This window comes from Homo sapiens, chromosome 16, assembly GCF_000001405.40.
Source record: "Homo sapiens chromosome 16, GRCh38.p14 Primary Assembly".
NCBI lineage: Eukaryota > Metazoa > Chordata > Mammalia > Primates > Hominidae > Homo > Homo sapiens.
Window position 1 is genome coordinate 51,049,913 of NC_000016.10, and position 12,377 is coordinate 51,062,289.

General features: G+C 43.9%; 1 long non-coding RNA gene across 1 annotated transcript; it reads right to left on the reverse strand.

The window, feature by feature from the left end:
* Positions 1-4,254: 4,254 nt before the first annotated feature.
* Positions 4,255-11,448, reverse strand: LOC107984887 (uncharacterized). Its single transcript, XR_001752177.2, has 3 exons — positions 11,109-11,448; positions 8,669-8,827; positions 4,255-7,752 (listed from the first exon to the last, which is right to left on the reverse strand). It is a non-coding gene; the product is annotated as an uncharacterized LOC107984887 (long non-coding RNA).
* Positions 11,449-12,377: the final 929 nt, after the last annotated feature.

Below are 12,377 nucleotides of genomic sequence, written 5' to 3' on the forward strand. Positions count from 1 at the left end.
TAATCCCCCTCTTTCATGGATTCTAAAAATATTGCCTACTGGCTCCTGTTTCCATCTGTGACTGAGCTCCTTTAAAATCCCTAGACTTGAGACTCAAAGCCAGATTCCTCTGCTCCCATTCTGTGGCTCTTCCAGTGGGTCATGACATAGTCTTGAAGACATCAAACATAAATGTTTTCAGTCATTTGACAAATATTTACTGAGCACCCTTTATGTGTAGCTTGAAGGAAGAAGTGAAGAATAAGCCAGATGTGTACATAAATTAACAAAATAGGTACTTGAGTGCATGTGCATGCCTGTGTACATGTGTGCATGAACACATAGGAACAGTCTTATCGGGTGGAGTGAGCAGCAACTGAGAAAACATGCATGAGCTAGCGATAAGCTGCAGAATGCCATGTGTGACAGGCATGTGTCCATCTACATATTTCTGAAAGTTGATTGCATTTTCTGTTCACTCCTCTTTGAAAGGATAGCTCATGTCTGTTATTGGGAAAATAACTGCTTCAATTCAAGTCTTAGCTGCCTGGATTCTTGCTCTCCAGCAGCAACGAGGCATTGAAGCAAACCACTCAGGCTCCAGGAATGATTAACTCTGAGGACAACAGCCAGGCAGTAGGCTGGCTAGGAGGTGGGACCAACTCTCCTGGTTTTCCCAGGACTGAAGTGAGACTTCCAGTATTAAAACTTGGAATGTCCAAAGGAAACTAGAACAAGTTGGTCACCCTACCTGGAAAGCGCCTCTTGACAAAGGAGAGACCGAGATCAGAGGCTGGAAGGTGAAATGGGAACCGAAAAGTTCTGCTGTTTGTTTCGAAGTTTTTTAATGGGGCAAAAGGAACAAATCTGATGATCTCCCTCATCCACAGCATCACTGTCATGAAAGAGCCCTGTCAGCCATCCGTGAGTCCCCACCCTACCATTAACTGGCTGGGTGGCCTGGAGTAAGACTTCTCCTTCCTTTGCCTCCCTTTGTCTCAGCTTTCCCCTCTGTAAAGGGGGGACTTTGGATTTGGAGAGCACAGAGCTCCCCTCCAACTGTAACGATCTGGTGCAAACCACACAATGTTAAACCTACTTTTAGGGCAATTTTGCTTTGTTCATAACCACATGTTACTTACCTCACAGTGTCCTAACAGCTAATATTTACTATGTATTTCACCCATGCTGGGCATGCTATTTTAGGTATTTTAAATGCATCGACTTATTCAGTCCTCACAACAATCCCAATTTATGGATGAGGAAACTGAGGCATGGGAAGGTAAAATAGCTTGTCCAGAGCTACAGAGCTGGTGAGTGATGAAGCTGGGATTTAGATCCAAGTCAGTCCAGCTGTCTGTCTGCGCTCTTAGCCACCTCTGTTAAAGTCAGTCTCCTTTGTCTGTTTGGGACTTTGTAAGCTCATAGTTGAAGAACTGACACACAGCATGTTGTAGTACAATGTAGTGATGAAGGGTTCAGGCTCTGGAGTCAAAGACCTGAATTTATATGGGGTCTGCTACTTTCTATCTGGGAATATCACTAAACTTAACTCTCTCATCTGTAAAATTAGACTAATAATTGTCCCAGCTCATAAGGTCAGTGAGAGATTGCTTGCAAGACACTTAGCACATCCCTCCTCATTGTACACCCAACAAGAATGTATCCATGTGTCTACTGAAGAGCATGTGCTGGAATGTTCATGCTTATAGGAGTACCATTTGTAACAGCACAAAACTGGAATGTGCCTACGTGCCCATCAACAGTGAACAGATAAATAGCCTGTGGTCCATTCACACAATGGGATCCTATCCAGCCATGAGGGTGAAAGAAATGCAACCATACCCAGCCACCTGGTTGAAGTTTGCAAGCTTTATGCTGAATGAAAGAAGCCAAGTGTGGAGGAGAACATCCTGTGTGATTCCATTGATACCAAGCTCAAAACTAATCTGAGCTGTTAGAAGTCAGGAGAGCGGTTCCTCTGAAGGGTTGAAGTAGTAACTGGAAAGAGGCAAGTGTGGCTTGGTGGGTGCTTTGATGATCTGTTTCTGTTTCATTACAAGAAACAAAGTTTGCATGGGTGTGCTCATCTTGTGAAAATTCACTGAGCTGCACCCTAATGATGTGTGTTTTTTTGTTTTGTTTTGTTTTGTTTTTTTGAGATAGTCTGACCCTGTCACCCAGGCTGGAGTGCAGTAGCATGATCACAGCTCACTGCAGCCTCAAACTCCTGTGCTCAAATGATTCTCCACATCATCCTCCAGAGTAGTTGAAACTACAGGCATGCTCCACTATGCCTGGCTAATTTTTGTATTTTTTGTAGAGGTGGGGTTTTGCCATGTTGCCCAGGCTGGTCTTGAACCCTTGAGTTCAAGCAATCCACCCATCTTGGCCTCCCACAGTGCTGGGATTACAGGCATGAGCCACTGCTCCTGGCTTGATATGTGTTCTTGATATGATATGTGGAGTATGTTATACTCCAATAAAAACTGTTTAAGCAGATGCCCAATAACAAATGACTAAGAATTCTGATGGAGTAGGAACTTGCTGTGGAAAGGGGATGGTCTTTGGGACTGGCTAGTCCAGGGCCCTGCCCCATTCTGTTTCTTCCTGGCTGTGTGATCTTGAACAAGTTGCTTAACTTCTCTGAGCTTCCACTTTATCATCCGTAAGAATACTATACACTTCATAAGGGTGCTCTGAGGACAAAATAATAAAGCACATACAAAGGCAGCATAATATCTGGAACAGTAGGTACATAATATTTGCTTGATGCATGACTGAGTAAACTTTAAAAGTCACTTGGCTTCTCTCTGAGTGGCTGAGCCTCCTAAATCAATAGATAAACAAATGGGTAAATAAGTAAAATTCCCCTTTTCACTCAGATGTGGATGATGCTGACCACTGGGAGGTCAGGATGTGGCTCTCATGGGTCTTGGGGTTCAATCTCATTGGAAGCCTGGGGTTCTCTCTAAGAATGTATTTCCTGATGGACACAGTGCCTCATGCCTGTAATCCCAGCACTTTGGGAAGCCAAGGTAGGCAGATTACTTGAGGTCAGAAGTTTGAGACTAGCCCGGCCAACATGGCAAAACCCTATCTCCACTAAAAATACAAAAATTAGCTGAGTGTGGTGGCCCATGCCTGTAATCCCAGCTACTCAAGAGGCTGAGGCAGGAGAATCGCTTTAACCAGGAGGCGGAGGTTGCAGTGAACCGAGATCATGCCACTGCACTCCAGCCTAGGTGACAGAGCTAGACTCCATCTCCCACCCCCACCCAAAAAAAATATATTATATGTGTTTCCTCTATCAGTTTACAGGCTTGATTGTTTCTGGCAATCAGACCTGGAGAAATTGTCTGTGGCTGCACAAAAGTGAATGCATTCTACCCAATCCCCTTCCTCCCCTGGTCAAGTAAGCCTGGCTTTTCCCTTGCAGTCCGGACACCCATCCACCATTACTCTGTGTGTAGAGGCCCAGCCTGTGGGATGGGCGGCAGCTGGAAGGAAGCTCCCTCCAGGAAGTAATCTGGTGGCATGCAGAGCTCTGGTGGAAGAGGGTGAAGTGTCTGAGTCCTGGTCAAACAGTGACAGCCCTTCCCCCACAGGGGCATTGGTCCTTCCCAAGTAACCCCACCCCTTAGCATCTTTGCCTCTTCCTGATGGAATTAAACAGCTACCACACTTCCATTTCACAGCGGGAGAAATGGAGACTAAGTGCCTGTGACACCTGGTCACTGGTCTAAGTGCTGATGATACAATGCCCCTGCCCTCTTGGAGCTGGTAGTTCATGGGTCTACTTTAGTTCCTACATTAGCTCAGGTGCATTCACAGAAAATAAGTAATGATGCTTTAGCAAGACAGGTTTATTTCTTTCTCACTGAGAGCCTACGTTGGTTGGCTATCTGAGGGGCAGGTGGCTTTGTTCCACAAGTCATCCAGGGGCTCAGGTTTCTTCCACCCTGCTCTGCCAGCTCCCAGCATTCTGTCAACCACATGATCAAAGCTGAAAAGAGGACAGTGTAGGGCAGGCAGTATCCTTCAAGGGCCTGACCTGAGGGCTGCACACAAGTCAATTCTGCTCACATCCCATTAGTATGATCTTAGTCACATGGTCACATTTAGCTGCAAGGGAATCTGGGAAATGTAGTCTTTAGCTGGGTGGCTGTCTGCACAGATAAAACTTGGGGGTTTTATTACTAACAGGGAGAAGGGAAGGATGGATCTAGAGGGGCACTTTTTCCCACATGGGGAGAGACAACAATAAATACGTACTTTTTTTTTTTTTTTTTTTGAGACAGAGTTTCATTCTTGTTGCCCAGGCTAGAGTGCAATGGCACCATCTCAGCTCATTGCAACCTCTGCCTCCTGGGTTCAAGTGATTCTCCTGCCTCAGCCTCCCGAGTAGCTGGGATTACAGGCAAGCACCACCACGCCCTGCTAATTTTGTATTTTTAGTAGAGACAGGGTTGCTCCATGTTGGTCAACCAACCTCAGGTGATCTGCCCGCCTTGTTCTCCCAAAGTGTTGGGATTACAGGCATGAGCCACTGTGCCTGGCCCATACTTTTACACCATAAGTCAGGTGGGCAGGGAGATCTCTTGAGATGACATTTGAGCAGAGAGCAAATGCATTAAGGTAGATGTTTCCATGCTGCCTAAGGAAAGAGGGTTCCGGGCAGAGGGAGCAGCAAATGAGAGGCCCTGGATGGGTGGGAGGAATGAGCTTGGCGCGTTTGAGAAAAGCAGCTTAGGAGAGCCTGGCAAATCACAGGAAGGAGCTTGTATTAGATTGTTTTCATGCTGCTGATAAGACTTACTTGAGACTGGGTAATTTATAAGGAAAAAGAGGTTTAATAGACTCACAGTTCCACGTGGCTGGGGAGGCCTCACAATCATGGCAGAAGGCAAAAGGTGTGTTTTACATGGCAGCAGACAAGAGAGAACTGGTGTAGGGAAACTCCCCCTTATAAAACCAGCAGATCTCATGAGGCTTATTCACTATCATGAGAACAGCACAGGAAAGAGCCGCCCCCATGATTCAATTACCTCCCTCCTGGTCCCTCCGATGACACATGGGAATTGTGGGAGCTACAATTCAAGATGAGATTTGGGTGGGGACACAGCCAAACCATATCGGGGGTCTACAAGTCTCTTCACCCTTTCCTCTTGGGCATTCCAGAGTCCTTATCATGGACTGTCCTTCGCAAGGTGAACTGTGTGTGTGTTAGGGGTAGGGGCAGAGATTAGGTGCAGAAGCTAGGTAGGAGGCTGCACACTTGTCCAGGTGAGAGATGAGGCTTTTGTCTAGGATGAAAACAGAGAGGGGTGCAAGCAATGAGATGTATTTTATCCATGAAGAAGAGGAATGGAATACGTTGTTAGGAAAATAGATTGGGGTTGAAATTTGGGGTAATCTTACATGGCTTGCTAAAAACCAAACCTCCAGGATTTTACTTTGTAGGCAGCAGGGTGCCTTGGGAGGGTTTAGTGCAGAGGCATGGGCTACACTTTAGAAGAGCTCATAAACTCGTTGGGGGAGTGATTTTATTAAAGATGAACAAGAAAAGGTTGAGGGGGTATCCTGTCAAGTTGGAAAAGGAGAAGTGCCAAGATCCTGCTTTTAGGGCTGATGGAAAGTCCAGATCTGCTCACAGTCAGGCACCGAGAGTGCAGAGCCTCCGGCCAAGGGGGATAAAGTGGAAAGAGTTCTTAAAGATGTGCGTCCACATACACATTGCTCCCAAAGAGCCTTATATTGCCAGACACAGCAGCAGGAAGCCATTATGAGAGCTTGCACAATCTACTCTAGCTGAGAATGTTTCCCAATATAATTTACAAAATTTCAGTTGGAAATGCATTAGCAGTTGAGCAGTGAGGAACTTCAACGGGGTAAATAGGAAAACTAAATTAAAACCCCAGCTTCGAACGCGATCGAACGGTGTGTGCAGCTCCTGCAGTCTTCTCTAACCTTTTCAAGTCCAAAGGGCCCTTTTGTTTTCCCCAGTTTATGGGTTGGTTTTCATTTGATTTGGTTTCAGAAAGTTTTTACGGAATCCACTCAAGTGACTGCTGATGAGCTTGCATGCAAAACCATCCGTTCACACATCCATCAGAAAAGGATCTCAGAAGGGAAGAGAGGCAGACATCAGAAAACACACAGAGAACATAGAGAGCTCCAGGACAAGGGTAGGACAGACAAGGATGGAGACAGAGAGACATACAGAGAGAGAGAGAGAGATTGAAATTCAGAGGGAAAGACATTGAGGGAGAGAATGAGAATAACACGATGCAATTTCTTTCTCTAGGCTGCTTTGAAAAGTAATAGCTTATGCCCAGGAGACTGTTCCCTTTAAGTTGTACATGTCCTTTCCTGGCCATATGTCAACTGGACCATGCATTGGAAAGTTTTATAGGTGTCTGAAAGGCTGTTCACCCCTTCTTCTTGGGCATTTGGGGGGCCCTTACCGTGGAATCTCCTTCTCTTTCAAACAGTACCTTCTTAAGCTCCTGTCCCTTCTCCAAATGACTTTCCTCCTTCCTTTCTAGCAACTCAGTGTTTTTCTTTTAGCTCCACCTCCTAGAGCAGGCTTCAAGTTCTTTTTGACATCACAGGGTTAGTCATTTCCCTTTAGGAATTGTAAACATAAATGACACCCTGGACGAAGTCTAGACTGGGTCCTCAGTCCTCTTTGGAGAATGAGAGGTGTCTGTTCTGTGGGCACCATCACCATGAAGCCTGTGAGAGGGTGCCAGGCCATCCCCAGCTGAGGAGTCAGCACTGATTCCCCCTATCCATCCTAGGCCCCTCCATTTCAGAGGAAGAATCCTGTTTAGTATCATTTGGAGCACCCCTTGTGTATCTGTCAGGTGTTAGCGTCTGGGACAAAGCCTGTACCTTCACCGAGAGGACATTCCAGGAGACAGGTTACAAGAAACAAGCACACCAATACATACCACAGTTCACAGTAGAGATCAATGCTTTGCAAAAAATACTAATAATAAAGTAGTAAAATGATAGAGCATGGTTGGCGGGAGAGGTGGTTTCTCTAGATGGGGTGGGCTGGGATTGTCACTCTGAGAAGGAACATTTGAGTAAAGACTAAAATAATGTGAGTGGGGGAGGGCAAGTAGATACGCCGAGATGAGAATAAGCTAGACATTGTCAAGGAACAGAAAGAAATGCCTTTCTATTCCTTAGTTGTATTTGGAGACCTAGAGAAGTTGTGGGAAATAGCAAGTTTGGCATCCTCACTTGCAGCATGTGCTAGCGTTACCTACACTACAGTGGACATGAAATGGTTAAAGAGCAACCTCCCTCTACCCCACACCCATGCAAATGTCAGCAGCCAAGGGGGACACTTGGTCATGGAGCAGAGAGAGAGTCCAATAATCCATGCCCTGAACCACCCTCGAGCCTTCCAGCCGAAGCTGCTAGTTCCATCCACAGCCTGAGTGCAGTGAAGCCCTCTCCCCACCCATCCCTGCAGCTTAGACTAACTCCCAGACACAGCTAAGCCAGGAAAAGGCAGGTCTAGATGTACAGCACCAACCAAACAGCCCAAACCAGGGCTGCAGGCATTCTGTAGGATACAACGAACGGAGAGAGAAAACAAACCTTAGCTCTTAAGATCTAAAGAAGAGAGATGGATAGAACTTTAAATATGCAGTTGATTATTCTGAATACTTAACTCTGAGCAGTTGCACACAGGAGAACTGAGAATTCTGTACAACTGGTGTTAAATGCAGGTGGACTTCTTCCATCCAGACCGGGCTGTAACACAAAAGCATATTGATGCTGCAAACCTCGGTTTATGAAACAAGAAAGAAATGCACAGAGAACAGAGAATTTCTGCAGTCACACATGGATAATTTCCAGGAAAGAGAGATTAGCAGTGAACGTCACTGTGTGTGTATGTGTGTAATTTTATATTTTATATATATATATATATATATATATATGTATGTATGTATATAGTTGTCTGTATACAGAAGAGCACTCTGACAGGGCTCCTTCTCATCTTAGAGTTCTATTCATCATTTATGGGAAGAACTAAATCCAAGCAGAAAATAAATAGAAAGAAGCAGTGATTTTAAACCCGATCTTCTCTTTGATTACATTAAAATTTTAAACTTCTGTATGGCCAAAAATAAAGAGAGAGAGAAAGAAAGTCCTAAACAAAGTCAGAAGGCAAGCAGCAATGTGGGAAACAGCATCACATAATAGACAAAGGGCTAATTTTTATTATTTACAAAGAGCTCTTACAAATCAATAAGGAAAAGACAAACAGCCCAATAGATAAATGAGCAAAGTACAGGAACAGGCAGATAGCAGAGAAAAGCAACGCATTTGGCCAGTGACATAGGAAAATAAATCCAATCTTATTCACAATGAAAGTAATGAAAATTAAAACATTGTATTTTTAAAGCAAATGGGCAAAGTTTTAAAATTTGGTCTAATTTGGAACCCCCAGAAGCAGACTCTGAGATGTTTTAGTAGAAGTGGTTGATTTGGGAGGAATCCCAGGAAATCCAGGAGCAGAATGGGGAGGGAGAGAGGGAAGGGAAGGGAAGGGAAGAAATTAATCAAGTTACCTTTGTCACTAGAGCTTAATTCCACAAGGGACTGGGGAGGGGAAGGGAACAGTCAGAGTTACGGGTTCTGAGGGAGAGAGAGCTGAGGTACTTACACACCAGCTCCCGTCACACACTCGTCAAAGGCTGCTGAGGGAGGCTGCTGATTAACTCCCCAGCCTTTTGGCCTGCAGTGAGCCCTGGACAGCCAGCAAAACTTAAGACAAAGACCTGCAGGTGCTGACAGTGGGAAGTTGGACATTGGACAGCATGCCCTGAAATGATAAAGTTAAAAGGGTATAGGATCAGAACATCAATGGAGTCTTCTATCAAAGTTTGCCCAGAAGAAAAGAAGCCATTGTATGAAAAAGATACTTGCACAAGCATGTTTATGGCAGCACAGTTCACAATTGCAAAAACATGGAACCAGCCCAAATCGCCATCAATCAATGAGTGGATAAAGAAACTGTGTGTGTGTGTGTGTGTGTGTGTGTGTGTGTGTGTGTATCACACAATGGAATACTACTCAACCATTAAAAGGAAAGAATTAATGGCATTCTCAGTGATCTGGATAAGATTGGAAACCATTATTTTAAGTGAAGTAACTCAGGAATGGAAAACCAAACATCATATGTTCTCATAAGTGGGAGCTAAGCTATGAGGATGCAAAGGCATAAAAATGATACAACAGACCTTGGGGACTGGAAAGGAAAGAGTGGGAAGGAGGTGAGGGATAAAAGGCTACAAATTGGGTTCATTGTGTACTGCTTGAATGATGGGTGCACCAAAATCTCACAAATCACCACTAAAGAACTGACTCATGTAACCAAATACCACGTGTTTTCCAAAAGCCTATGGAAATAAAAAGTAAATAAATAAATAAATAACAAGGTTCCATTTGTTCAGTTCTTGCTGTGTGTAAGGCACAAATTCAGTATTTAGGTGTATCATCATCTCATTGAATACTTAAACTGACCTTATGATATAAACACTACTTTTATCCTCATTTTAAAATGAGCAAACGGAGATATGAAGAGGTTGGTTAAATACATTTCCTAAGGTCCTGCAGCAATGAGATTAAGGAGAAATAATGCATTTCAGGCTCACTGACACCCACTCCTGCCTCTTGACTAGTGTGCCTTCCATAGATGGAAAGAAACATTTTCCCATACTGTAGATGGAAATGAAAATCTGGCTGGTAAAATCTCTTTGGAGGGTCATTTGACAATGGCCTTCAAAATTTTAAATGTATGTATAATGTGACTCAACCACTCCACTTGACAAAGGGAAGCAATTGCTGTGCTTTTAATAATAAAAAGAATTCTAAGCAATGCCACTGGATTTTTCATAAAGGGCAGGTAAACATTTTCTGGTATGTCAATGCAACAAAATACCGTGGGATAGTTAAATATAAGGGCAAGGAGCAATCTGTGGAAACAGAAAAAGGTCTAAATGTTAAAATTTTGTTTCTTATTTTAAAAGTGCATGTAGCAACAAAGTATGTTTGATGTGACCGTGTTTGCTTAAAAAGAAAGTGAGTATTCATTTATCACTGTGCTTGTGTAAGGCTCACAGAGAACACTGGTTAGGACTGGGAGTCTGAGAGGTAAGTGGGGGAGCCTTCGTTTCTCGCTCTATACCCTTCTGAATTATTTGAATTTTCTTCCATGTGTTACTTTTATAGTTTAAAGATTCTAGTAAAAATAATCAACCAACCAACCAACAAACAAACCAATCCATTACTATCCTTGGGATATTATTAATAACATCTGGTTTCTTTGGTCCACCCTGACCTGACTCTCTTCTTCCCCAAAGTGTGCCCGTCTCTTAAACGCAGTCAGTCTCCTCCTCCCCTTTTTGCCAGGCTGCTCCTTTCCCTGGGATGCCTCTTCGTTACTCTGCTACCTTTTCAAACTCTACATATCCTGCAAGCCCTACCTCAACTACCACTCCTCCCAGAAGCCTTCCTGGGCTACTCTGGCTCGCAACCAGCTCCTTCCTCTCCAAACACTTATAGTAACTGTGGTTGTACAAAACACATGGTCTATAATCTCAATTTTCTTTATTTTCCTTCCTCTCTTCCAAGTTTGTGTTTTGTTTTTCCAAGTAGGCAGAAAATACCTTCAGAGCAGGGGCTGTGACTTACAGGAGAGGTCATGAAACAGACACACAAGTCACAGGGAGGAAGCAACCTTAAGTCCTGTTGAAGATCCAGCCATGAGCTTTTGGATACTTTGACTTGGGAGAGTGAGTAAAAAAGGGAAGGAAGGGAGGGAGGGAGGAAGGGAGAAGGAGGGAGGGAGGGAGGAAGAAACACACACACACACACACACACACACACACACACACGCACACACCCGTTGGAAATATTTACCTATATCATTAAAGAAATGATTCTACCCTTTGCAGATATTAAACTAAAGTGAATTAACACCTTACGACAAGGTCTCCTGTTAGCTTGGAAGTACATTTACATAGCAGATGGCATCCAGGGGCTGAGGGCAGGTGTCTTAGAACACTGTCTGTTCGGGTGAGGGGCAAAGAGCACATACTCACACTTGCCATTTGCCGTCCTGAGATCAGCTGGAGTAGGTCCCCTTTGGAATGCTTTCCCCAGCCTTGAAACAATTGTACACCTCTTCTGTGTGTACACCCTCCTCTGGTTTTACAACTGGTTCCACAAGCCACAGGTGAGTTCATGGCAGACTCAGCACTAGAACCAGGTCCCTGGCCTGGCGCACATGCCTTCATTCATCCTTCACCTGAAACCCTCAGTAATGCATGACACAGCAACACAAAAGGAATTTTTCCAGCTCTGCCTAGTGGGGCTGAGGCGGTGGTACCAAGCAGTGCTTCCATGTGGGAATTCCTTTCCAGCATTTCTCGGGAAATTTATGTTTTTCCAACTTCTGAGGATAATTAGTCAAGGAACTGAGAAAATGAGAAAAATATTCTAATTCCCCCATGAGAATGACAGCTTAGCAATCAATATGCAGGCATTACTTGTTGGAAGGAATCTAGTGATGTCAAGCAGAAAGCCAGAACAGGAGGCACTGACACATGAAGCCCAAGCTGAAGACATTTCCAGGAACCAGGACCAGAGTACATAGGAGCAAATCAGTCATCGCCTACTCAGGCTTGTTTGCAGTTGTGTGTTTGTGGTCCTGTAGGCTGCTAATGTGAGCCATTCTTGCAAAGAAAATAAAATATTAATGTATTTATATGTATAGTATACTTTATTCAAGTCCTGTGGGTGGAGTTCCAAGAAATTACAAGGTTGGAAGCAAAGTAAGTTCTGTGGCAACTTCTTGAATCTGTGTAGTGTTTTCAACCTTGCTAGGAGAACTGAATGTCACATTATTCAAATATTACCCAGTAATGTTCACTGGCACTTTCCAGGATTTAAATATTTGCTAGAGGCAAATATTTTTTAATAAATTCTTTGTAAAGCTCTCAGTAGATCCTATTCAACTTACTATTTCTTATATATCCATCAACGTTTTTAGATATTTGTGATAATTACTAAAGAAAAGAGTATGAAGAATGTTCAAAGCATTTTAAGAATAACTTATGATTTGAGGAATTCCAAGTTCTTGTCCCTAGATCTCAAAGGTTAATATCTGTTGGGCATTTGGAAACATGAGTGCTGTCAGAGAGGATATTGGTTTCTCAATTACAAGAGCTTTGCTGTTCAATACGTAGATGGTGAGGTCTTCTGAGGCCGCTCATAAGCCCCAGAAATAGCACATAAACCAGTCATCACACGTGTCCTGTTATTTACCAGCAGGTGAGTGAGTAGCCACCAGGGGCTGGTGATGGGTGCTG